Source organism: Homo sapiens, chromosome 9 (assembly GCF_000001405.40).
Source record: "Homo sapiens chromosome 9, GRCh38.p14 Primary Assembly".
NCBI classification, from domain to species: Eukaryota; Metazoa; Chordata; class Mammalia; order Primates; family Hominidae; genus Homo; species Homo sapiens.
In genome coordinates this window covers 35,308,707-35,333,635 of record NC_000009.12, presented here as the reverse complement: position 1 = coordinate 35,333,635, position 24,929 = coordinate 35,308,707, and the positions used below count along the sequence as shown (strand labels likewise).

At 40.1% G+C, this 24,929-nt stretch overlaps 1 protein-coding gene across 11 annotated transcripts in view, besides 1 other annotated feature; it reads right to left on the bottom strand.

The window, feature by feature from the left end:
• UNC13B (unc-13 homolog B) overlaps nt 1-24,929 on the bottom strand; it is a 243,327-nt gene that overhangs the window by 71,700 nt on the left and 146,698 nt on the right. For all 11 annotated transcript variants that reach the window (NR_170667.1, NM_001387551.1, NM_001371189.2 and 8 more), the window contains 2 exons: nt 22,855-23,169; nt 19,647-19,737 (listed from right to left, as the gene is read on the bottom strand). Coding sequence is in view for 10 of the 11 variants with exons in the window: in NM_001387551.1 (NP_001374480.1) it covers nt 19,647-19,737; nt 22,855-23,169 (406 nt within the window). In the remaining variant the exon portion in view is untranslated. The remainder of the gene's footprint in view (nt 1-19,646; nt 19,738-22,854; nt 23,170-24,929) is intronic.
• Nucleotides 5,119-6,318: an enhancer, noted in NCBI's record as "BRD4-independent group 4 enhancer chr9:35327315-35328514 (GRCh37/hg19 assembly coordinates)". NCBI's record gives its function as "activates an origin of replication core promoter dependent on BRD2, P300/CBP, MED14 and CDK7 cofactors, and independent of BRD4, by STARR-seq in HCT116 cells {active_cell/tissue: HCT116}" and the evidence as "EXISTENCE:reporter gene assay evidence [ECO:0000049][PMID:35650434]".

The window sequence follows — 24,929 nt, the reverse complement described above, 5'->3', positions numbered from 1 at the left end:
TAATATTTGGATATGTGGAAACTAAAAGGAAAGGATATTTAAGGCAGAGGATAGAGGATGGGTAAAGAGATGAAAGGGAGAAGGAGGAAGGCGTTGGAAAGAAAAGGATATTAACATTTACTGAATGCTAACAACACACCATGCCCTGCTCTACATGTATGATATTATTAAACCCTTATTCATCCACTGAGGCAACTATGATATTCAGAGATGAAAAAATTATGTTTCCAAAGGGCTGGGTAACTTGCCTAAGCCTAAGGTTACACAGGCCGTAAGTGGTGGAGAACTCAGGCTCTGTTGAGACTATAATTTAATTACCAATGTAAAGAAAAATTAATTTTTTTGAGGATAAACTTTCATTCACTTCTCTATTCACTCACTCACTCACTCATCTGCAAAGAGTTTAGTGGGTGCCAGGCATCAGGGATATAAAGTCAGACATTTTCTCTACTCTGTATTTTAATGCTATTTTTCATTTAGCTTTTATTTAAACTTTTTATTGAATGATAATATACATTATAATTATAACATAAACAAGTCAAAAGTGTACTTTTACATCCATGTAAACAGAATCTAGATCAAGAAAACAATATAACCAGAACTCCAGAAGCCTCCTGTGCTCATATCTAATCACTACAAATTCCATCCCCCAAAGGTAATCACTATCCTGATGTCTGACACCACAGGTTACTTTTTCCTGTTTTTGAACTTAATACAAAAAGAATCATACAAAATATATTATTTTAAGAAATATATAATCTTGAGGGCAAATGCTCACATAATTCCAGGACAATGTGATTAACATCAAAGTTGATTATATATGAAATGCTATAGAAAGATAAAAGATGAGACTCTAACTTGGCCTGGGCACTTTGGGAAAGGCTTCAAAGAATGTGACATCCAAGTTGAGCCCTTGGTATAAATGGTAGCCATGACTCGAGCTCTATTTCAGAAAGATAAATCTGGCAGTAATACATAAAATGGCTTCTAAGAAAATAAAAGCAAGGAAACCATTAGAAGACTAATACTATAGTCTAAGCAAATAAAGAGAACCCGAACACAAAGGGAAACAGAGAAGAGACAGAGACTGGTAAAAGAAACCACAAAGAAAAGAAGAGCAAGAGCTGGCAAATGATCTAAGTGGGAGGCAAGAGAGAAGGAAGAATAAAAAGTGACACCGTGATTTTGAGTGGGTGACTAGTAGAATGATGGTAACTTTAATATAAATAGAGAACAAAGGAAAAGGAATAGGCTCAAGAGGGAAGTTTTAAACATTGGGAAATTATAGTGAAAATAACTAGTAGATAACTAGACAGGAAGAATAGAGCCTAAGGAAAAAGGGAAGGTTTAGATTTGGGAACATCTGCTTACAAAGGCTAGTTGGGAGGCTGGGTGCAGTGGCTCAAGCCTGTAACCCTGGCACTTTGGGAGGCCGAGGCGGGTGGATTATTGGTGAATCCCCATCTGTACTAAAAATACAAAACAAATTAGCCAGACGTGGTGGCTCATGCCTGTAGTCCCAGCTACTTGGGAGGCTAAGGCAGGAGAATTGCTTGATCCTGGTAGGTGGAGGTTGCAGTGAGCTGAGATCGCACCATTGCACTCCAGCCTGGGCAAGAGCAAGACTCCGTTCAAAAAAAAAAAAGGCTAGTTGGAAGCCTACTGGTTACCTATCACAGTAGGTAGGACCAAGCACATTACCTTCCATAGAGTAGTTGCTTAATTAAAGATTCTTGATTAGAGGCTGAAGAGATGCAGTTTTGAGATTAAAAGTGATGCTTGAGGGAAGACTGTAGAAAGAAATGAGGCAGGAGCTAAGGAAGGAAGAGAATTGGGAGAATCTAAGAATAATAGAAGAAAATAGGAAACGAAAAAAGGGAGTTTTAAAAACACTATGGAATGCTGCACAGAAAGTAAGAATGAGGAAAAAGTGACTGAGAGAAAAAAGTATTTAAATACTTAACTGTTAATTATTTCTACCTCCCCTCTGGCCTATAAGCTCTTGGAGAATAGGAAAATGTCTTACAAATAGTCCCAACAGTACCCAGCAGTACCCACTTATTAGGGGCTTGATTTAAAACTGAAAAAGTGCTGGGCACAGTGGCACATGCCTGTAATACCAGCACTTTAGGAGGCCAAGGCAGGCAGATCGCTTGAGGCCAGGAGTTCAAGACCAGCCTGGCCAAGATGGCGAAACCCCATCTCTATTAAAAATACAAATTTAGCCGGGTGTGGTGATGCACTCCTGTAATCCCAGCTACATGGGAGGCTAAGGCACAAGAATCGCTTGAATCTGGAGGCAGAGGTTGCAGTCAGCCGAGATCACGCCACTACACTGCAGCCTGGGTGACAGAGCGAGACCTTGTCTCAAAAAACAAAAGAAAACGAAAAAACAAAACAAAACAAAAAACCCTGAATAATTACTTAAGTTGCTTCATTTTGGATAACTTTGGCAAAAGGATGTTTTTTCACAGAGGAACAGCCAGCAATGAATATTCTCATTGGTTGGATGGTCAAATAAGCAGCAGGAATCAGAGAAGGTGGTGGTAAAGAGTGAGAAAGGATGCTTTGCTTATTACTTGGAAGCAAGTAATTTTGTAGAGGAATCTGACTTATTCCATAAGAGTTAACTATGTACCTCCCTTTATTGATACTATGCCCAGAAAATACCTACCATTTGGAGCTAAGGCCCGCAGCCAGTATCTGATACCCTTTTCTCTAACTCTGGACAGGTTGATGACATTATGGCATCCCTTGGAAATGTTCTATGTGCTCCTTGGAAACCAGAGCCAAATCCACCCTTCCAAATGATCCACTGCCCCAAATCTCAGTCCAGGTGTGACATCCTATAATTCACCAGGCTCAGTCACAGCCCAGAACTAGAAGGTTTATAGAAGATCCACCATTGATGAACATCCAGATCCAGGCCATAAATGTGTCCAGAATATTTCAGAGGTAAAACAAACAAAAAACATCCGTATTGCTACTGACAAGTGCATGAAAGCTGCTCTTTGAAAATGTTCCCACATTGCACAGGTCAGCCTTTGGCTTCCGTTGACTTCTTCCTCTTCTTTGGTGGTCCCAGAGAAGCACTAACATACCAAATAGCCTCATTGGAGTCATCCATAGATAAGTTACCCTAGCAACCCTGTTACCACAGGGGAGACCTGGTGGCCTAGATCCCTATAACAGCCTGAAATCCTATGGCATTGGCTCATTGCCACATCAGCCAAAAAAACAGCAGTGTCAATGGATCCTCACTTAGCAGCAAAGGTTCCAGCCATGGTCAGCAATGACCTTTGATGGGTCATTCAGTTGCCTCAGGTCTAGGCTAGAAAGGTCATGACAGATCCCTAAAAGCCAACAGTTCTGGAAAGTACTAGGAGGCTGGCTAGAGACTTTTAAGCAAATGCTTGTAGAGCTTTGTACTCAAAAATGCATTTTTCTGTGATCTCACCAAAATCCTGTGAGAGAGAACAAGTCGCTATCCCTAATTTTATAACTGAGAAGAACAACAAATATGAATTTGTTAGTTATTTCAGATTTTAAGGGTGAGCTAATACAAAAACCCAGTTCTCGGCATTTCTATCCAGCCCTAAATTTTGTTAGTAACAATTTAACAGTAAACGGATACAAAAGACACAATATTGTGAATGGGCTCTTGGGCTCTGTGTCTACCAGTCTGGAAACCCTATTTCTCTCCAAGTGGACCTCAGGAAACAAATATTGACAGGCGAGAAATACTGAGGCTTGTGCCACCCTCTTCCCTCTTCTGCCATGGGAGGTATATTAGTTTTCTAGGGCTGCCAAAACAAAGTAGAACAGTCTGGGTGGCTTAACCAACTAAAATTTATTTTTGACCAGGCGTGGTGTAATCCCAGCACTTTGGGAGGCCAAGGGGGGCAGATTGTTTGAGCTTGGGAGTTCGAGACCAGCCTGGGCAACATAGAGAAACCCCATCTCCACAAAAAATATAAAAAATTAGCTGGGCATAGTGGCATGTACCTGTGGTCCCAGCTACTAGGGAGGCTGGGATGGGAGGACCACTTGAGCCTAGGAGGTGGAGGCTGTAGTGAGCCAAGATCGCACCACTGCACTCCAGCCTGGGCAACAGAGTGAGACCCTATCTCAAAAAAAAAAAAAATCTCACAATGCTGGATATTAGAAATCCAAGATCAAGATGCCAAGAAGGTTGATTTCTCCCAAGGCCTCTTTCCTTGGCTTGTCAATGGCCATCTTCTCTGCCTTCAAATGGTCTTTCCTCTCTGTGTCTGTGTCCTCATTTCTTCTTCTTCCAAGGACATTAGTCATAATGGAGTAAAGCCCACCCATATGACTTCAGTTTATATTAATTACCCACTTAACGACCCTATCTCCAAATAATGTCACATTCTAAGATACCTGGGGTTAGGTATCCAACCCCTGGGGAAGGTTAAGACTTCAACATTATGAACTTTGGGGTGGGAATGGGAACAAACTCAGCCCATGAGAGGAGGAAAAGGTGAAATCAGGAACTCAGTGGTATCAGATATTTAAAAGGCAAGGGAAGAAAGGGGACAATTCGGGGCTGGGCGAGGTGGCTCACGCATGTAATCCCAGCACTTTGGGAGGCCGAGGTGGGCGGATCACAAGGTCAGGAGATCGAGACCATCTTAGCTAACACAGTGAAACCCCATCTCTACTAAAAATACAAAAAAAAAATTAGCCAGGCATGGTGGCAGGCGCCTGTAGTCCCAGCTACTCGGGAGGCTGAGGCAGGAGAATGGCGTGAACCCAGGAGGCGGAGCTTGCAGTGAGCAGAGATCACACTACTGCACTCCAGCCTGGGCGACAGAGCCAGACTCTGTCAAAAAGAAAGGAAAGGGAAAGGGAAGGAAAAGAAAGGAAAAGAAAAGAAGGAAAGGAAGGAACAGAAGGAAGGGAAGAAAGGGAAGGAAGGGAGGAAGAAAGGGAAGGGAAGGAAGGGAGGGAGGAAGGAAGGAAGGAAGGAAGGAAGGAAGGAAGGAAGGAAGGAAGGAAGGAAGGAAGGAAGGAAGGGGACAATTCAGAACCAGAAGCCAGGCACTCTGGTTTTTTCCTTTCCTTTGTAGGGAAACTTTGGAATACAGTGGAAGGATCATCTCAGTTGGTGGCTTTGGAGAATGAGAACTAGACCAGTCTCAGCTTTCATCCCTACTCTGGGCTGCTGCTTAGCAGATATGGAGAACAGAAGCAGGAGAACCACATGAATCCTTCTGGCAGCTCTGCTCTTTTCAGTGTCAATAGAGGTGGGAGAGGTGGAGGGACTTTGCTCATGTTTAAAAGAAAATTTAGGCTGGGCATGGTGGCTCACGCCTGTAATCCCAGCACTTTGGTAGGTCAAGGTGGGAGGATCACCTGAGGTCAGGAATTCGAGACCAGCCTGGCCAACACGGTCAAACCCCATCTCTACTAAAAATACAAAAAAAATTAGCTGGGCATGTTGGCACATGCCTGTAGTCCCAGCTACTCGGGAGGCTGAGGCAGGAGAATTGCTTGAACCTGGGAGGCAGAGGTTGCAGTGAGCTGAGATCGAGCCACTGCACTACAGCCTGGGCAACAGAGTGAGACTCAGTCTCGAAAAAGAAAAGAAGAAAAAGTAAAAGAAAAAGAAAAGAAAATTTGAAGCTTTATTCCTAAAGAAATCACTGTTGTCATCTACTTAGCTTCATCTTTTGAATTCCTTTCTACTGACAACTTTAGTTTTTACCTAAATGGTTGAATTCCAAGGACGGAGCTAGATGCGTATATTAGAGAAACAGAAAAGGAGGGACTGAGACCATCAGGATGCTACATGAGCTGGCAGCTCCAGAACATGCTTTCATGGCTGCAATGCTCCAGAACATGCTTTCATTGACGGTAATGGTTAATATTAGGTGTCAACCTGACTGGAGGGATGCCTAGATAGATGGCTGGGGAAGTATTGTTTCTGGGTGTTGTGAGGGTGTTGCCACAGAAGATAGAAATTTGAGTTGGTGGACTGGGAGAGGAAGACCCACCCTCAATGTGGGTGGGCACAATCTAATTGGCTGCCAGTGTAGCTAGAACAAAGCAGGTGGAAGAAGGTGGAATAAATTTGCTTGCTGAGTTTTCTGGCTCTCTTTTTTCTTCCCATGTGGACATTTGCTTCCTCTTCTCCGGCCCTTGAACAGGTTATTTGGGACTTGCACCAAGAGGCTTCCTGGGGTCCCTTAGGTCTTCAGCTGCAGACTGAAGGCTGTACTGTCAGCTTCCCTGGTTTTGAGGCTTTTGGACTTGGACTGAGCCTCTACTGGCTCCTCTCTTTCTCCAGCTTGCAGACAGCCTATCATGCATGGGACTTCACCTTGTAATCATGTAAGCCAATTCTCCTTAATAAAGTCCCTTTTATATATACATATATCCTATTGGTTCTCTCCCACTGGAGAACCCTAATAATACACTGACCAACTAGGCAAGCTACTTCCACACCCTAGAAAAAACAGCTCCTCCTTATTGCTTCAGAGGCTTGGCTGCTGTGGCCAATTTCCCCAGAGATAGGCAAGAGAAAGAGAAGAAAGGTTGCAAGTTAGGGCATAATTAAGGCAAAACATGGCAAATTCAAAAGAGGTTTGAAAAAATTAAAAAGGAACAGGAGTAGGAGAAAATATTTGCAAATCATATGTTTGATAAGGGACTTCTATCCAAAATATGTGAAGAACTCTTACAACTCAACAACAAAAAGACAAATAACCCAATTTAAAAATGAGCGGAGGATTTGAATAGATATTACGGTAGTCCCTCCTTAGCCACTGTTTTGCTTTCTGTGGTTTCAGTTACCTGCTGTACAATACAATAAAATATTTTGAGAGATCATATTTACATATCTTTAATTACAGTATATGGTTATAATTGTTTTATTTTATTATGTTGTTAATCTCTTACTGTGCCTAATTTATAAATTAAACATTGGCTGGGCACAGTGGTTCACACCTGCAATCCCAGTGCCTCGGGAGACCAAGGCATAAGGATCACTTGAGCCCAGAAGTTGAAGACCAGCCTGGGCAACACAGCTCTTGTCTCTACAAAAAACTAAAAAATAGAAACTTAGCCAGGTGTGGTGGTGCATGCCTATAGTCCAAGCTACTCAGGAAGCTGAGGTAGAAGGACTGCTTGAGCCCAGGATTCAAGGCTGCAGTGAACCACTGCATTCCAGCCTGCAGGACAGAGTGAGATCCTGTCTCTAAAATTAACAAATTAAACCTTATCATATGTATGTATAGGAAAAAACATAGTATATGTGAAGTTTGGTACTATCCATGGTTTCAGGTACCCATTTGGGGTCTGGGAATGTATCCCCTATGTTTAAGAGGAGACTACTAAACTCCAAAGAAGATATAAAAATGGCCAATAAGCACATGAAAAGATACTCAACATCATTAGTTACTAAGGAAATGCAAATCAAAATCACAAGTTAGCACTTCACACCCACTAGGATGGCTATAATAAAAAAAGACAGACAATAAGTGTTGGCAAAGATGGGGGGAAAATGAAACCCTCATACACTGCTGATGGGAAGGTAAAATAGCACAACCACTTTAAAAAACAGTCTGGCGGTTTCTCAAAATGTTAAACAACGTTACCATATGACCTAGCGGTTCCATTCCTAAGTGCATACCCAAAAAAGCTGAAAACTTATGTTCACACAAGAACTTGTACATGAATGTTCACAGCTGCATTATTCATAATAGCCAAAAGTAACGATCCATGCTACAACATGGATGAACCTTAAGAACATTAAGCTAAATAAAAGAATCCAGACACAGTAGGCCACATATGATAGGAATCCATTGGTATGAAATGTCCAGACAAATCTACAGAAAGTAAATTCATGGTTGCTACAGGCTGGTGGAAAAGGGAATAGGGAGTAATCCCTAATGGGTATGGGATTTCCTTTTGAGGTGATGAAAATGTTCTGGAATTAGGTAGTGGTGATGGTTGTGTGATCTAGTGACTATATTAAATACCACTTAATTGTATACTTTAAGATGGCTTTATGTTATATTAATTATATCTGAATTTAAAAATATTTGTTACTAAAAACAAAGGAACAAGAATTTGTTGTCAAGCCACTGAGGGGAAATGGTATGAAAGTAGGGCTGAATGAGAAGGCTGCAAGAGTACAACGGCAGTGTATCCTTGTCTCTATGTCACTTAGAATAGTAAAAGGAAGTGGAGGCAAGCTGTGTAAGCAGAGGGAAGAGCCATGGGTAGCTGGTAAAAGATAAAATTTGGAAATAAAAAAAATTTTTTTTCTCAACCAAAAGTGAGAATAGGCGAGAATGGGTATGGACCTCTCCTTTTCTAGAGATTTTTAGGCAAGAAAACCCCCCTCATTCCTCTTCACAACTCAACTGCCCAGAATGCAAAAGGACAAGCTTCCTTACTCTACATCCTGTTCATTCATCCTGCCAACAGATATTTATGGAGTACTTTTTATGTGCATAAGATAGTTACCTCATCCTTCTCTCCCTCTGAGGATAAGTGAAACTCCAGCTCCTCATTCTTCTACATCTTAAAAAGAATGTCTTCGCTTTCTCTTATCTCTCAGGAGCCCAATCACATCTAGTGGGTTCAGGGTTGATTTGGGAAGCATGGGAACAAAATGCAGGACGTAAAACAGGTTTTAGAGAGGTGATGTCTTTTGATTGGGACAAGCTGAATTTGAGATGCTGATGGGACAAGTGAGTGTCCAAGAAGTAGTTAGAAATATGGGTTTAGGGTCTGGGCTGGATAAGAGAGCAACCCACATATAGGTGATAGGTGACATAATAAATGATATTTCAAAAGAAAAATGTATAGATTTATATGAAAAGAGCATTGAGGAAAGAACTCTGGAAAGAACAACATTTAAGAAATGAGCAAACAGAGAAATCAGAAAAGAGACTGAAGACAGATCAAAGAGGAGAGTTGGAGATGGTTTCTTAGATGTCAAAACAGGAGGGACTGTGCAGAAGTGTCAAATACTGCAAAGAGGTCCAATAAGATAAACACTGAAAAGCAACCACTAAGTTATCAGTTAGGAGCTCACTGATGACCTTCACAAATACAGTTTTAATGAAATGACAATGGGATCTCTGACGCAGACTTTTCTCAAGTATATTCCTTGGAAAACTAGTCCCACAGAATGTGTCTCTAAAAGAGTGTTTCATGGTCAAATAAGTCTGCAATAAAGCTGTGCATATTATATTCCCTTCTTAAAGAATCACAATAAGCCTAAGTATACTGAAGTTTCTGAGAAGTCCTAAGATATAAGGCAATCTATTGGCTTTGTGCTCTGTTGAATTCTGTGTTTCCCAAATTTCTTTGACATAGAACCGTGTATAATATGATACCTATTAATGACTCTAGAAACTGGAGTCCTGTGGAACATGCTTTGGAAAGTAGGGTTCTAAGATTAGTGTTAAAAAGACAAGCTCTGAAGTTAAATAGATCTAGATTTGAATCCTGGTCCTAAATCTTACTAGCTGGGTGATCCTGAACAAGTTTCTATCTTTCTAAACACTCAGTTGCTTAATCAATAAAGTGGGCCTAATAACATAAGCCTAATTCACAGAATTATTATTATGAATTCATTAGGTAATGCATGTAAAGATATAGTGCCTACACATAGTAGTATTCAATAAATGTGGTTACTATAATGATATTATTATTATGGCAAGAGTTGAGATTAAAAAGGAAAACTGTGATGCAGGTACTAAAATTTTCAATGAATAAATGGGGAATTATGGGAAAGTTGTAATCTAATTGCAACAAGGAAGGTGGCTGTAGAAACAGGTTAGGCAAGGATCTAGTAATGGCTTGGAAGTGGCAGAGGAAGCCAGAGAAAACCAAACCTCACTTCTGACCCAGTAATGCATGGGGCATATAAAAGGCATAGTCTCTACCAAAGAGGGCTTCAAGGAACAGCCAGGTCCAGTCAAGGTCAGAAGGTAGAGAATATGTTGGTTCTGGTCTCAGATATCAGGTAAAGGCACTGCAGTTTCTCAGAAGGCGAAAACAGTCTGTTGAGAACAAGGGTTGTCTCACAGCATTCAGAGGAGCAGCTAGGGCCAGGGAAGGTCACTCTGGTTTGTGAAGCAATAGTAAGGCCTGTTCTTGGGTAGGGCTTACCATGAAGTTTGAAGAGGGGTCTCAAAAGCTGTGGCTAAGATAAGTCTTGAAGTATTCAGGCTTATGTACAGGATTTGCATTGCAACTACATTAGAAACAACCTAAAGATCCATCAATGGGGGCAGAGTATATAAATTATAACACATCTACAGAAAGAAATACTATATAACTATTTACAAAGCAGTAGCCCTATTTATACTAACAGAAAAACTATGCAGCTGTTAATAGAGTATGAACTCTATTTATACTAATAAGGAAAAAAATCTCCGAGATAGAGCAATAAATGAAAAAAGCAAGGTGTAGGACAATGTGTGTAATACACACATACAAGTTTTGGGGCACACACATGCTCATAAATGGATGGATTAACTCTGGACTGATCCATGAGACACAAATAATAAGATGGGGGAAAAGGAGATGAGGGGGCCTGGGAATCTGAAGTAGGAAAACTGTGCATTATATATTTATAAATATATATCTATATATAATATCCTTTTCAATTTTATATTTTACATTTATTACTTATTCAAAACATTCTTCAGTTTTTTTTAGAAATGTTAGAATGGCAATGGTTAGGGAGAGGGATGAAAAGTTGTGAGAAAAAGGAGGGATCGGAAATTGGTAGTCTCCATGAGGGCAAAGAGTTGAGAAGTTAAGATAGGCAGACATGATCAGAAAAAATTCCAGAGTTTAAGATTATGGAAAGAGTATTTCCCTGGTGCAAAGTCTGAATGGTGCAGTTCTCAAAAGCCCTCTCCTTAAGCCTCATTATTTTTCCCCTAGGGACCCATTTTTGAGGCTTCAATTATAGAACAAGAAGGAAGTCACTTTTCTTGGGAGGGAGTAACAAGTGAGAACGGAACTTTGCAGAAGAGTTTCGATTCGTTCTCTGTCTTAATGATCGCCCCTAAGAAAATGCTGATCTACCTCTCAGGCTGGCAGCTGTAATCCTACCTCTCCTGAGACTGCTCCATTTAAACCCAGGCCTTCTCATCTATTTGCTGTTCTGTCTCTGCTTACCAAGGCTCTCCTTCCTCAGCTTTCTTCAACAACCCAAGAGCTCCTGTCAAGCCTTCTTCCTGGCCTATCTCCATGCCTTCTCCTGAACTGTCCCTTCCACCTGGAACACCCACCCACCCGCTGCCACCGCAATCTCCGTTTCTAGAGCTAAAGTCTCACCTCCTCCCCCAGATTTTTCTGCAGCTAAGCCAAATAAGGTACAGATTCATATCCACTCCCACCCACACTACCAACATTACTGCCTCATCAGCAATAGCAATGTCATCAAACACTTATTAAGTACATATGGCCATGTACTCAGCCAGCCCAGAAGACACAGAGATGACTCTATATAACCTCTTCCCTCAAGTGACTGACAATCTTATAGGAATAGCATAAGTGTAACTAGGTTTCTATGATTCTCAAAGTCTCTTTGATGTAATATTAGCTGAAGAAGTATAAGTGACCTATAAACTTATGAGATATATTCAAATCACAGATAATCAAAGAAATGCAAATTAAACAATGGTATACCATTCTTCTGTCAAATTGGCAAAAATTTTCTAAAATAAGAATACTTAATGTTGGTACAGCACACTCAAATACTGAAAGTACAAACCGGAAAAGCTTTTCTGAAAATAAATTAAGAAGTTTGACAGAAGTCTTAAAATATATATATACCCCTGAAGCCGAGTGTGATGGCTCATACCAGTAATCATGGCATTGCAGGAGGCCCAGACAGGACGATCACCTGAGGCTAAGAGTTCAAGACCAGCCTAGGCAATGTAGTGAGACCTGGTCTCTATTTTAAAAAATAAAATTAAAAATAAAAAATAAAATTTAAATTTAAAAACTTATACCCTTCAACTCAGTAATTTAATCTATTTTAAGTTAAAGAAATAATCAGAAATGAAAACAGATGTATGCACAATGATGCTCATCACAGCGTTATTCATAATAGTAACAAGAGGAGCCAGGTATGAGGGCTCATGCCTGTAATCCCAGCATTTTGGGAGGTTGAGACAGGAAAATTGCTTGAGCCCAGGAGTTCAAGATCAGGCTGGGCAACATAGGAAGACTCCATCTCTACAAGAAATAAATCAGCCGGGCATGGTGGCACACGCCTGTAGTCCCAGCTACTTGGGAGGCTGAGGTGGGAGGATCACTTGAGCCTGGAAGGTCAAGGCTGCAGTGAGCTGTGCTTGTACCACTGCACTCCAGCCCAGGCAAGACGCTGTCTCAAAAGAAAAGAAGAAAAAAGAAAAGAAAGAAACAAGAGGAATATTATAAAATACCTATATAAGAGAATATTAATCTATTAAGTCATTAAATCATGTTTTCAAAAATATTTAATAACCCAGAATAAAGTTCACAAAAACAAAGTGAGAAAAAAAATGTTTAAATCCACACATATTATGATCTAAATTCAGTAAATTTATGTTCATGTATATAAAGCTTATATAAGAAAATATAGCTAATGTTAATAGTTAATATTCTGCTATTATTGACTTTAAGTGCTGGGCCTTGGGAATAATTAAAAATAGTATTAATTAGAAGATAAAGAAGCACATGGAGACTTCTGTGGAAATAATGCGGGGCATCTCTGGCTGGTTAAGCATCCACAAAAGGTTAGCTAAACACACTTTGCCAGATTCCATACTGGGCTCTTGAATATCAGCCTTAAAAAGCTTAGCCTGACATTAAAGGATCTTACAAGAAGTACACAGAAAAGTAAGACATAGCAGTAAACAAGTAACTCCATTACATCATCATGCAGTAGAAAAAAATATGCAAAGAGTCTAGAAACTTTACCCCAAAACTGACAGCTGACTGGGTTTTAAAAGATGTGAATGAAAAGTTAGCTAAGTGAATTAAGAGAAAGAGCATTCTAAGCATGGGAAACAGCAAATATAAAGTCTCTGAGAATTTTTGAAATATAAATAATTCTATATGTTGGAAGCATTTCACCTAAACAGGATAGCAAAAAGAGCCTAGCAGATAAGTGAAAATCCAAAAGTTTGATACATTACTGATGGGTTAGGAAAGAGAAAACCACTCTTAAGACATTACTAGTGGGAGTATAAATTGGTACACTCCCTATGGGAAGCATATACTTTTGGGGGTAGGCATTAAAGCCATTGACAAATATCCTTCTCTATCTCTTTAAAAGTATGTCATACTGCTCCACTTTAATTAAAACAGAGCTAGCATTCAACCCAGCAATCCCATTACTGGGTATATAATGAAAAGAAAACAAATTGTTCTACCAAAAAAACACATACCCTCATATATTCATCGCAGCATTATTCACAATAGCAGAGACATCAAATCAACCTAGGTACCCATCAACAGTGGACTGGATAAAGAAAATGTGGTACATATGCATCATGGAATACTATGCAGCCATAAAAAACAGTGAAATGTCCTTTGCAACAACATGGATGCAGTTGGAGGCCATAATTTTAAGCAAATTAATGCAGGAACAGAAAACCATATATTGCATATTCTCATTTATAAATGGGAGCTAGGGGCCAGGCCTATAATCATGCCTGTAATCCCAGCACTTTGGGAGTCTGAGACAAGAGGATTGCTTGAGGCCAGGAGTTCAAGACCAGCCTAGGAAACATAATGAGACCCTATCTCTACACAAGAATTTTTTAATTTGCTGGGCATAAGTGGCACATGCCTGTGGTCCCAGCTACTTGGGAGGCTGAGGTGAAGGGTTGCTTGAGCCCAGGAGTTAAGGTTGCAGTGAGCTGTGATCATGCCCGTGCACTCCAGCCTGGGTGACAGAGTGAGACCCCATCTCAAAAAAATAAAATTAAAAAAAAAAGTTTTAAAAAATGAGTGGCATCTAAACATTGGGTACTCATAAATATGGGAACAATAGACACTGTAGACTACTAGAGGGAGGAAGGAGGAAGATGGCAGGGATTGAAAAACTACCTGAGTACTATGTTCACTACATGGGTGACAGGATCTATACCCCAAATCTCAGCATCATGCAAAATACCTATGTAACAAACCTGCACAGGTATCCCCTGTATCTAATTTTTTTTTTTTTTTTTTTTTTTTTTTTTTTTTTGAGATAGGGTCTCACTCTGTCACCTAGGTTGGAGTGCAGTGGCATGAGCTTGGCCCACTGCAACCTCTGCTTCCCGGGTTCAGGCAATTCTCCTGCCTCAGCCTCCCAAGTAGCTGGGATTACAGGTATGCACCACCACACCCGGCTAATTTTTGTATTTTTGGTAAGGATGAGGGTTTCACCATGTTGGCCAGGCTGGTCTCAAACTCCTGCTGGGATTACAGGCATAAGCCACTGCACTCAGCCCTCTGTATCTAAAATATTAATAGAAGTTGAAATTATTTTTAAAAAGTTAAGTTTGGTTTCATGATTTCCTTTAGCTAGGAAAATATGAGCAAAAGCAACATATGTATTAATAACTTCTGGGTAGAAGTTTTAAGAGCCAAAGTACAACTTGCTATATTTTCTTTCACTTGTTATCTTTCCCTTCCTTTTACCATTGTGACTGGCAGTGTTCCAGGTGTTGGTTGCTCCATCAGCCTGGATTGCAGAGAGAAGACAACTTTAAAGCAAAACTCCTTGATGTGGAATACGAGCAAGAAACAAGCCCTTGTTATTTTAAGCCATAGACAAATGGATGGCAATTTGGCAATATTTATCAAAATTATAAATGCATATCCCCTTGGTATACCTGCACACATGCAAAATGACATATGTACAAGGTTATTCATTTGTAACATGGTTAACAGCAAATGACTGGAAACAACCAAATGAACATCAACAAAGGACTAAATACTTGCAGAACAAATATTTCATTCAATGGAATATTACGCAGCTATAAAAAAGAATGAAAAATTTTCTTAGAGCTGATATGGAAGGATCTCCAAATACAAAATCAAGAAATGCTTGGTATGTATAATATACCATCTTTTGTATAAAAACGGGTAAAGAAGCATTAGTATATTCATATTTGCTTGTACTTGTAGACAGATATTCTAGAACGATAAATAGGAAACTAACAAGATTATCTTGAGTGGAGGGTGAAGGAGTGATTGGGGTGGCGGGGCGGCAGCGGGGCAAAAAAATCCTTGGTGTTGTGCTTAACTTCTTTCTCTCACATAACTTCAACCAATATGTTACTAAATCTCATCTTAAGTACAAATGGTACATTTCTGCTTCAATCTTAAACTGTTATCAGAACCCTCTTTAAACTCTGGCTTCTTGTTCTCCTCTTGGACATTTCTAATCAGTTGCCAGTTACTTTACCTGTGTTAAGAATATCTTTACTATTGTTCTCTTATTCAATTAAGTTCTTAGTTACTCTTAGGTAAACCATGCCTCTGTCTGTATGATTCCAAGCTTTGGCAACTGTTTTCAGCTAGTCTTTTTGAGAGACTGAATTATTATACTTCTGAAAAAGAAAAGGCCATAACTTAAACTGTGTCTTCTCCAATATATTCTTATTTTTCTAATTCAGAGCTTTCCTTTTACATGGATAAGGCTAATTACTTTGCTTTGCTTTATAGGAAGAATTACAAGACCCTTACTTTTAAAAAACTTAGAAATAAAAAATCAGTAAGTATTATGACATTCATTCCATAAATGTTCATTTTAAATGCTTGTTTAGGCCAGGCGTGGTGGCTCATGCCTGTAATCCCAGCATTTTGGGAGGCTGAGCCAGGTGGATCACTTGAGGTCAGGAGTTTGAGACCAGCCTGGCCAACATGGTAAAACCCCATCTCTACTAAAAATTAAAAAAAAAAAAAAAAAAAATTAGCCAGGCATGGTGGCCCACGCCTGTAGTCCCAGCTACTAGGGAGGCTGAGACATGAGAACTGCTTGAACCTGGGAGGCGGAGATTACAATCAGCCGAGATCATACCACTGCATTCCAGCCTGGGCAACAGAGTGAGGCTCTGTCTTAAAAAAAAAAAAAAAAAAAAAAGCTTCTTTAGCCAGATGCAGTGGCTCACGCCTATAATCCCAGCACTTTAGGAGGCTGAGATAGGAGGATCGCTTGAGCTCAGAAGTTCAGAAGTTCAAGACCAGCCTGGGCAACACAGTGAAATTCCATCTCTACAAAGCATTAAAAAAAATCAGCTGGGTGTGGTAGTGCGTACCTATAGTCCTAGCTACAAGGGAGGCTGAGGTGGGAGGATCACTTGAGCCCAGGAGGTTGACGCTGCAGTGAGCTATGATCATGCCACTGCACTCCAGCCTAAGCGACAGAGTAAGACCCTGTCTCAATAAATAAATAAACAAACATTTGTTTGCCTCACGTCAGTCTATATCAACAGACTCCCAGTGTTTGCAGTTAGGCAGCCCTATCCATGGAAAATTTTTTTAGCATGAACCTCTCAACATATGTACGCTTATTCATTTAAAAATTATATAGATGTATAACTGCATTAATATATATTATAAAAATTAAAATGTGAAAAGCATAACAAATTTAAAAGTTTTTTAATGTTTATTAACAAAAATTTTTTTGCTGTAACTAAAAATATTCACAGTGATACTTTTTTTTAAAACAATGTGATATAATGTGCCTAATTGTTTCCTAAATCTTATTTTAATATTTTGTTATAGAATGACTTTAAGGTCTGATTGTACATTCAATTACTTCAATACATGGTTTTCATAGCTGTCACAGCCGAAAAAGATAATGATATATCAAATCTAATGAAAGAAGAGCAATTGGTTCCAACATACTAATTATTCAGAGATTTTGTTAAACTTTGGCTAGTAATTTTTCCTCTTCTCTGATGTCAGTCAGCCGTTCTTGCAAAATTGTGAGAAATATTTTCATATTTTTAACAAGTAAGTTCAAAACTCATTGAAAATCTTCATTAGAAATATTTTTAATATGTTAATAGTCTCTTTCCAAGATTTTAGAGCATGCAATTATGAGTTTTTATCAGTAACATTGTTTCTGATAAAAGAACACACACACGCACATCTATATACAAATAATAGCATTTTCAAATATCTGTATTCACAATACCTTTTCCAAGCAGCTATCTTTTCAATAATTACTAAAACATTATCTTCTCCCTGAAGGGTCAAATTAAGAGTGCTCATATGAAGCCAGAACGATTTGAGCACCAAAATAAATGACAATAATGGATTATAACTCATGTAATAAATTAGAAATGTAAGAGTCATAATGCAATATTGACATAAATAAATTAATGAGAGAAAAGGGAAATCTCTTCCTAAAAATAGAGTGCCAACTAATTAATTAATATAGAAAGAATAATAGAAACAGAAAGTTACCAATTGGCAACCATCATTAGTGGTGGTAGATTCAGATAGGAGACGGCTACTTAGCTGGTAGGTAGAGATTTGATAAGGAACAAAATACCAGCATATCCTCAGAGTACTGCACCACAAGGCACTTAACAATTACAGAGGGAAGAAATGGTACCTTGACAGTGGAGAAACCTGGCCAATGCAAACTTAACCAAGTCATCAAGGCTGACATTATAAATGGTAGGACATGTTGACATCAGGTACTTTCTGACGCAATGCTCTGAAAAGAGCACAGCATCATTTTTTTTGTGTAATTCCTGCCATGAAAGGATGGCCTCAGTCCGGACATGAGGAAACACTGAATGGACCCAAACTGAAGAACATGCTACAAAATGAAAAGCCTATACCATTTAAAACTGCTAAGGATGGGAAACACCGAACGAAGCTAAAGAGATATCACGACTAAATGCAACATGTCATTCTGGATTGGATTCTGGATTAGAAAGGAAAAAGAGACATTGTTGGGATGGTTGGCAAAATATGGATAGGGTCTTGATAATAGTGTTGTTATTGTTGTTTGGCAGATTTGAATGGTTATATCATGGTTATACAGAACTGTAGCCTTGTTTATAGGGAAATACAAAGGAAGATTTAGGAATGACAGAATATCATGTCTCCAATTTTCTCTCAAATGATTCAGAAAAAGATTGATCATAATGGAGGGAAGGCAATGAAGTAAATGTGAAATGTGAATAGTTGGAGCATCTGGGTGAGGAGACATAGTAGTTCTTTACTGTTTTTGCAACTTTTCCTTAAGTTTGAAATTGCTTCAAAATAAATTAATTTTTAAAGTATATGTGCACATATGTGAGCATGATTGTGCTTTTAATATCTGCCAGATATTATACTACTGACAGCCAATTGTCATTAAACATGTAACTTCAATAAATCATTATATCAAAAAGATACCTGCACCCATATGTTTATTGCAGCACTATTCACAGTAGCAAAAATATTATGGGCTGAGTATAGTGGCTCACACCTGTACTCTCAGCACTTTGGAAGGCCAAAGTGGGAGGATCACTTCAGGCCAGGAGTTCAAGACCAGCCTGGGCAATACAGCAAGACCCTGCATCTACAAAAAAAAAAAAAAAAAATTTTTTTTAAATTAGCCAGGCATGGTGGTGCATGCCTGTAGACCCTGCTACTAAAGAGGCACAGGTAGGAGGATTGCTTGAGCCTAGGAGTTCAAAGCTGCAATGATCACACCACTGCACTCCAGCTGGGCAAAGGAGCAAGACCTGAACTCAAAAAAAAAAAAAAAAAAAAAAAAAAAAGATACGGAATCAACCTAAGTGTCCATCAACAGATGTTTGGCTTTTAAAAATGTGGTGTATATATATATATATACACACCATGGGATACTGCATGGTCTCACTTATAAGTGGGAGCTAAATAATGTGTACGCATGGATTTAGAGTGTGGAATAATAGACACTGGAGACTTAGAAGGGTGGAAGCGGGTAAGGAAAGAGAAATAACTTAATGGGTATAATGTACACTATTCAGATGATGGCTACACCCAAAGCCCAGACTTCACCACTATGCAACATATCCATGTATCAAAACTGCACGGGTACCTCCTAAATTTATATGGAAAAAAAAGTACCTTCTGCCTAAAGACTGCCTACCTCCTAACACACAGATAAAGACACTTCAAACTTGTAACACTGAAAATGAAAAATATTTATCTTTGTTTTTACATTTTTTTGACGTTGTTTCAGATCTTAGTGTGCTGATACTTTGGGACTTAAACTGGCAAATTCCATAGATATTTTTGTACCCTGTTTTGGCCCTACAGATGAGCCAGTATGGACCGGCTAGGTAAGGGAGACAACTATCCTCAGGGGCTTGAAATCATTTCTTGCCCTAAACTCGCCCTAAACTCAAACGGCTTCAAAGAGACAATGAACAGTACTTGAAAATAAGCATCTAACTTTACAGTCAGGCTCTCAGCCCACTAGGTCTATTTGATTTCCATTAATCAGCACAGAAGAAAGCCACTGGCCACTTCCCATCCCTTAAAGCTCTGGCTTAATTGTCATGCATTCCCAGAAGCACACTGTAAGAAGATGACTAATCACTGATTGCTTCTCCAGCACCATATGTCTCCCAATTTCAAAGGAAAAATTGTCCCAACCAGTACTAGAACAGATTTCCTACCTCCTGCAGCTGGAGTCGAACCTTGGTAACTGCTCGGATCCAATGTGCTCTGGCTTGGGTAAATGGTGAAGATGCATTCTCCTCAGGAAAACTTGTAACAGAGAAAAAGTACATTTCTTAAAAATAGCCAAGGCCACAAGGTGACACTGCTCAAGGCAAGACTGCCAAATGTCTAAAATAAAATGGTTTGTACTCATGCCTACACTTATTTAGTGATTCAGGCTACTAAAACAGCATAGTACTTGAATATCCAATGTGAAAACAATTCCTCTCTAAAACGATAACTCCTTTTAGCTTCTCATCTGTTCCCTCTTTTATTTATTTATTTATTTATTTATTTATTTATTTATTTATTTATTTATTTTGAGACAGGGTCTCACCCTGTTGCCTCGGCTGAAGTGCTGTGGCATGATCACGGCTCACTGCAGCCTTAATCTCCTGGGCTCAGGCAATCCTCCCACCTCAGCCTTCCAAATAGCTGGGACTACAGGTGCGTGCCACCACACCCAGCTAATTTCTGTACTTTTTGTAGAGACGATGTTTCGCCATGTTGCCCAGGCTTGTCTTGAACTCCTGAGCACAAGCAATCTGCTCACCTCGGCCTCCCAAAGTGCTGGGATTACAGGCGTGAGCCACTGCGCCTCATCTGTTCCTTCTTTTCCTTCTTTTTCATTTACCCAATGAGCAGCATAGTACTGAATACTCAATGTGAAAATAATTCATCTCTAAAATGACAATTCCTTTTAGCTTTTCATCTGTTCCCTCTTTTCCTACTCGTTTTTGTCATTTACCCAATGTGGTAGCTCCCTGGAACAGTCTGGGATCAGGACTCTAGAGGCAATGGCGAGAGCCCTGAGTCAATACGTAGTATAGAAACCATGCAGAGAGGGGTGGAATAAGCCTTTCAACCCCTCTCACTGCACTTCTTAAAACGATCAGTTCCCTTGGGGCTTTTGCATAGCATCCTTAGGGCAGAATTTTGTTCCTGCAAACCCTTCCTGCTCCACTAAGTATTTTAGAAGGCTTACCCATTCCTTTTTACATGAAAAGTGCCAAGAAAGAAAAGAAAAAAAACACACAGCCCTTTTACTGCCATGATCTGGTTCCTTGAGCTGCTTCTAGAACAACCTCAGTAAAATGAACAATACACATAACAAAATACCTTTGAGACAGAAACACTACCCTGCATTAGAACAACTCATTATCCACATTATTAACTAGAATAGTGGTTAATTCTTGGCAACAATGTTTCTCCTTTCTCTCTTTGAGGTCTACAGCCAATTCAGCAGACAAGTGTCCACCATCTAGACATGTTAAAATATATGGTCGTTTCTGATGCCAACTAAATGTGTCAACTGTTGTAAAACATTTGTGGGCACTTCTGGCCAAGGTAGAACTGGGTTTCACTCTCACAGCTAGGACCTGAGAGGACACAACCAGTAGAGAAGGACAAGGACTTGTGCTGGGCACTTCTGCTTCTCCACCAGGAACTCTGCCCTGATAACAGTGACTGCCAAGTCTAAGGTCTATGGAGAGCCAGAGTCAGTTTTTCAGTGAGTCATCAACCCAATAAGAAGCCTGGTCCACAGCTCACCTCCTGGATGTCCCATCTATTAGATGAGCTACCAGAGATGACCAAAAACCAAAAAAGGGAAGAAGAGAGAAAATAAGTTAATATCTTCAGAAAGGTTTGCGACTCATCTATTAATCCAGTGGTAAAGTAGAAGCACCAGTCACTCCCTAATTTTTACCATGTAATCTGCATTCAGTGCTCTGGTGTTTCAGTGAGAGGCTTTATTATTAGATCTTGAAATTTGAAACTCTAAGTCACACCCATCCCTTATCACTCTACCCCAGTGGGCAACTGTCCCCGCCAGGGGAAATCTGTCAGGAGACAGTTTTAATTGTCACAACTGAGGGTTGCAAGGATTGCTACTGGCATCTAGTGTGTAGAGGCCAGTGATGCTATTAAACATCCTATAATATACACAACAAAGAATAATCTGGCCCAAAATGTCACGAGTGCCGAGACTGAGAACTCTGGCTCTGCTCCAACCTATCAGCTAGTCTAACCGATTTAGCTCAGTAATAACATTCAGACTCTGTACTCAGCTTCATTATGAGATGTTAAAGAGGATACATTTTAAATTTTTCTTCCTATGGATACCAATTGGCAGACACATTGCTAGGCCCTGAGGAGGCTGAGGGGTGGGTTAAATCTGACTTCTAGATCAATTCTTTCTTAACTCTGTCCTGGGTTTCTCAGCCAGGGAAAAACAAAACAAAATGTTCACCAAAAAAGTTACAACAGAAATCACTGTTATTTTCCAATGGGATTTTCCCTAAGTTCCTCCTAATTGCCTGGTATTTTCAGGCTGATTTCTGATCCTCTAGCCCATACCAGCAGAATAGGTACCAGGTCACTGTTCTGAGTACTTCAACACACATACACATATACCTGTACATAAGTACATGCACACACACTGACCCTGACCAACCCCTTTGAACAAGTTTGGGCCAGAGGTCAAAGTAGCATTCTTAATAGGTTAGGAAGTCAGCCAAAGTACCTACCACAGCCCCAGTGGATGAAATAACCTGGCTCAAGTCAGTTCCTGACTCAGAGGCTGCCATATACAAGGTCAACTAGTAAGCTATGAACTGCAGACTCAAGAAGCCCTGGTACACTGCAGCTCACTAACTACAAAGAACCCAAGTGCTGGCTGGGTGCAGTGGCACACCGCTGTAATCCCAGCACTTTGGGAGTCTGAGGCAGGTGGATTGCTTGAGCTCAGGAGTTCAAGACCAGCCTGGGCAACATGGTGAAACCTTGTCTCTATAAACATACAATTAGCCAGGTGTGGTGGTGCACACCTAGTAGTCCCAGCTACTCAGGAAGCTGAGGTGGGAGAATTGCTTGAGACCAGGCTGTTGAGGCTGCAGTGAGCCAAGATCGTGCCAGCCTGGACAACAGAGTGAGACCCTATCTCAAAAGCAAACAAACAAAAACCCAAATATTCTTCAGAGATCTCCAAAATGTCTTGGAAAGTGCACCATAAATCAAAGGAAGCAATACAGAGTTGAGCCTGGAGGTGTTAACTACCACCATACCCAGCTGCAGGGAAACAAATGACAATCACTTATTTTCAGCAATACCACAGGGCAGGTACTGAGGAAGCCATGTGAGCTCCTCAAGGCAGCTGTTGCCTACCTCTCCTGGGGACCTAGGAAGTGGTCTTTTTGCAGCACCAGATCTGGGGGAGGGTGGGTTGTGGCATCTTCTTTCATCTCCTTGGGTTCACATGCTGCCTCCTTCTCTGCTTGACCTGTCACCTCCAAGGGTTTCTCTTGTTCTCCAAAACCTGCTTGGCCATCTCTGGACAGGCTGTGAGAGCTGTGGCAAGAATGAATCGAGTCCGTCTCCCGATGGTCGTCATCTTGTTCGTGATACTGGTCTAGTTCACTTAGCTGAGAGCTTCCTTGACTCACATTACAGGAGGAGCCATACCTACTGCTGCTGGTGGGGCTGTGAGAATGACAGAAAGACAGATAAGTAAATAAATGCAATCAGGGACCAGGACAAAAGAAAGGAGACATCCAGGAAATAATGACTACATTAGTAGCAAGAATCAAATAGGAGGTTCCTGGGAAGAGAGGACCAAACTTCATAATCTAGAAGAATTAGTCTCTATTCAGCGAAAACACAACAGGAAAACAACACAACATGCTGGGTTCTCCAACGACACTTAACCTCAGTTCTGCACTTGACTTTGAAGTATATTTTATCTTAATAGGCTATTTGTGAGTAGGATTAAAAATTATTAAAATGGCCTGTTACTTATTCCTAAAATTCTTTATTCAGTCTTCTAAAGAAGCTTGTCCAGTGGCTGTGATTAATCTTTCTTTAATTTCCACACAGTAAAATGGAATGAATGAACTCCACTCTTTTTCTATTACTTATTACATTGAGGTCATCATTTCTTCCTCTACAATTGTAAATGTGTACGCCTGTACCTTAGGATGAGCAAAGGAGAGCAGACATGTTCTTTCAGTTATCATCTCAGTTTCCTCATCTGCAAGATGAGTTAATAGAACCCATTGGAAGATAGAGGCCAGGACCAAGAGAATACACAAACGAATGGTCTCATCAACATAAATGCTACAATGATATCCCTGGCAGCATAGGAAGCGTCCCAAAGATGAACATCTGTAACTGAGCTTCTTTCAGGGCAAGGCTCAGTTTTGGAAAGAGTGGACAAAGTCCAACTCCAGGATCTGGGTCAGAGCCGTATTCATGCATCTCTATATCTGAAGACCAGCAAGCCAATCTTTTCTCAATCACCTGTATTCCCATATCCAGAAAGTCATGAGAGAAAGCAGTTATAGCAGAGAATGTGACAGTGGCAAGAAGGGCAGAGTGGTGGAAAGAAGAGCAGTATCTAGAAGTTACTTCCTTGAGTTTTATGGCCCTGTCATCTAAGGGCTTCAGTTCTTTTGAAGAATTTTCTTACCACAGAGTCAAGCCTTTAACTAAAGGGCTTGTGTTTACCCTTGGTCAAAGAAGAGAAATCACTGTTATTTTCCAATGGGATTTTCCCTAAAGTTCCTCCTAATTACCTGGTATTTTCAGGCTGATTTCTGATCCTCTAGCCCATGCCAGCAGAATAGGTACCAGGTCACTGTTCTGAGTAGTTCAACACACAAACACATATACTTGTACATAAGTATACACACACACACACACACACACACACACACACACACACACACTGACCCTGACCAACCCCTTTGAACAAGTTTGGGCCAGAGGTCAAGGTAGCATTCTTAATCTGTACTGTATGGTACTGCTTCTTAGGGGAAATAACAGTACCCTCTGCAGATAGATCCTGTACACTGCTCGAGACTGAAGAACTACAGCAAAGGACAGCTCTGAGTTCCTGTGAGATTTTACTCAAAGCATTTATCAGACATCAGCCTTGAGGGTAGTAAAAGGCAGAGATGATACCATGGAAGAAACTATGCAAATCTGTATGGAATAGGATATGGGAATACAGACTATCCCAAGGCATCCTTTGCACTTTGTATTTTGCTTAATACACTCATTGCCACTGGAGAAAGCATCTTAGAAGACTTGAAAAAACAAAGCAAAATAGATCTATCCCCATCTCCTACAAGATATAAGTGCCTAAGGCCCAAGGAAGCATCCTAGCCTATCATGTAGTTGTAGTTAATATATACCACCAACTACTTACTACCTCTTCCTGCCCTCCTTTCTCCATTTCACAT